Source organism: Homo sapiens, chromosome 8 (assembly GCF_000001405.40).
Source record: "Homo sapiens chromosome 8, GRCh38.p14 Primary Assembly".
In the NCBI taxonomy this organism is placed as follows: Eukaryota; Metazoa; Chordata; class Mammalia; order Primates; family Hominidae; genus Homo; species Homo sapiens.
This window is the reverse complement of record NC_000008.11, coordinates 101,332,941-101,334,067: the sequence shown is the minus strand read 5'-3', so window position 1 is coordinate 101,334,067 and position 1,127 is coordinate 101,332,941. Positions and strand designations below refer to the sequence as shown.

The 1,127-nt window shown below is 47.7% G+C and overlaps 1 annotated feature.

Moving 5' to 3' along the window:
- Positions 626 to 1,127: an enhancer, noted in NCBI's record as "NANOG hESC enhancer chr8:102345169-102345670 (GRCh37/hg19 assembly coordinates)". NCBI's record gives its function as "activates a minimal SCP1, AML or CMV promoter by ChIP-STARR-seq in primed H9 embryonic stem cells {active_cell/tissue: H9 hESC(primed)}" and the evidence as "EXISTENCE:reporter gene assay evidence [ECO:0000049][PMID:30033119]".

Here is a 1,127-nt window from a genome sequence, read left to right as displayed (position 1 = left end):
CTATTGAGAGGATAGCACCAAGGCGGATGGTGATAAATTTTTCATGAGAAATCCGCCCGCATGATCCAATCACCTCGCACCGAACCCCACCTCCAACACTGGAGATTACATTTCAGTATGAGATGAGGAGTGGGGACGCATATCGAAACTGTATCACTTGGCTGCAACATCATTGGAGCACCAGTTCTTACCGGATTGCAGTGTTTCTCATGGGGAAAAAAATGTTCTTGTGCATAGGGCTAGATTTTTAAAAACCAAGGGTTTGAAACTTGATTTAGTCCTAACCACAACTTGCTGTTTTAGTTTAGCCACGCTATTGTGCTTCTCTGGGCCCGTGATGATCCGTAGAGTAAGTGATCTTTCTTTTAGCTCTGAAAGTGGTAATTTATTAATTCAATCAACTGTAGTTGAGTGCATATTACCTGTGCAGTGATTTGCTAAAGATAGGAGCCACAAAACTAGAAAAACAAACAAATGCATGGTCTCATTCTCCAGAAGCTCCTAGCCTTGCCAGTAACAAAGGCACCACTATGGTGGAGCAAAGTAAGTGCATCGGTGGACCTCATGCCCAGGATGCTAAGGGACCACTTGTGAGCAGCTGCTAATCCTGATCCCAAAGGAAGGCAGCCAGAAGTGGAGACCCGATCCCACTTCCGGCTGTGTATTAAATGCTGCTCTATAGGATAGAGTATTACCTGGTTGGGGCCAGCACGGCTTCTCTGAGGCCTGGAAGCAGGAGAAAGCTTCAGTCAGACAGGAAAGCAGCAGAAAGATGAGAGTGAACAAAAACAAAGAGTTTTTTACTGCCTTTTATTTTTCAGGTCTGTGTAGATAGGCTGCTAGGAGGCAATGTACAGAAGGGAGTGGGAGTCCAGAGCGTGGCAGGGCCAGGGCAGGAAAGACCTTGATTGCCCTGATACAAATCCCAGCAGGAAGGAGCCAGCGCCTCCCCAGACACAACTTCCGGCACCTGCCGCTCAGCAGGGCCGGTGAAAAGCAGTCCCCTAGTGGCAAGTTTGGGAGCTCCCGGTTGCTCGTGGCCTGAAAATCATGCTCCAAAGAGGACAAATTCTAAGGGCTCTTCAAAACCCCAGAGGAATACAAGCCCACTGGAAATGTAGCTAATC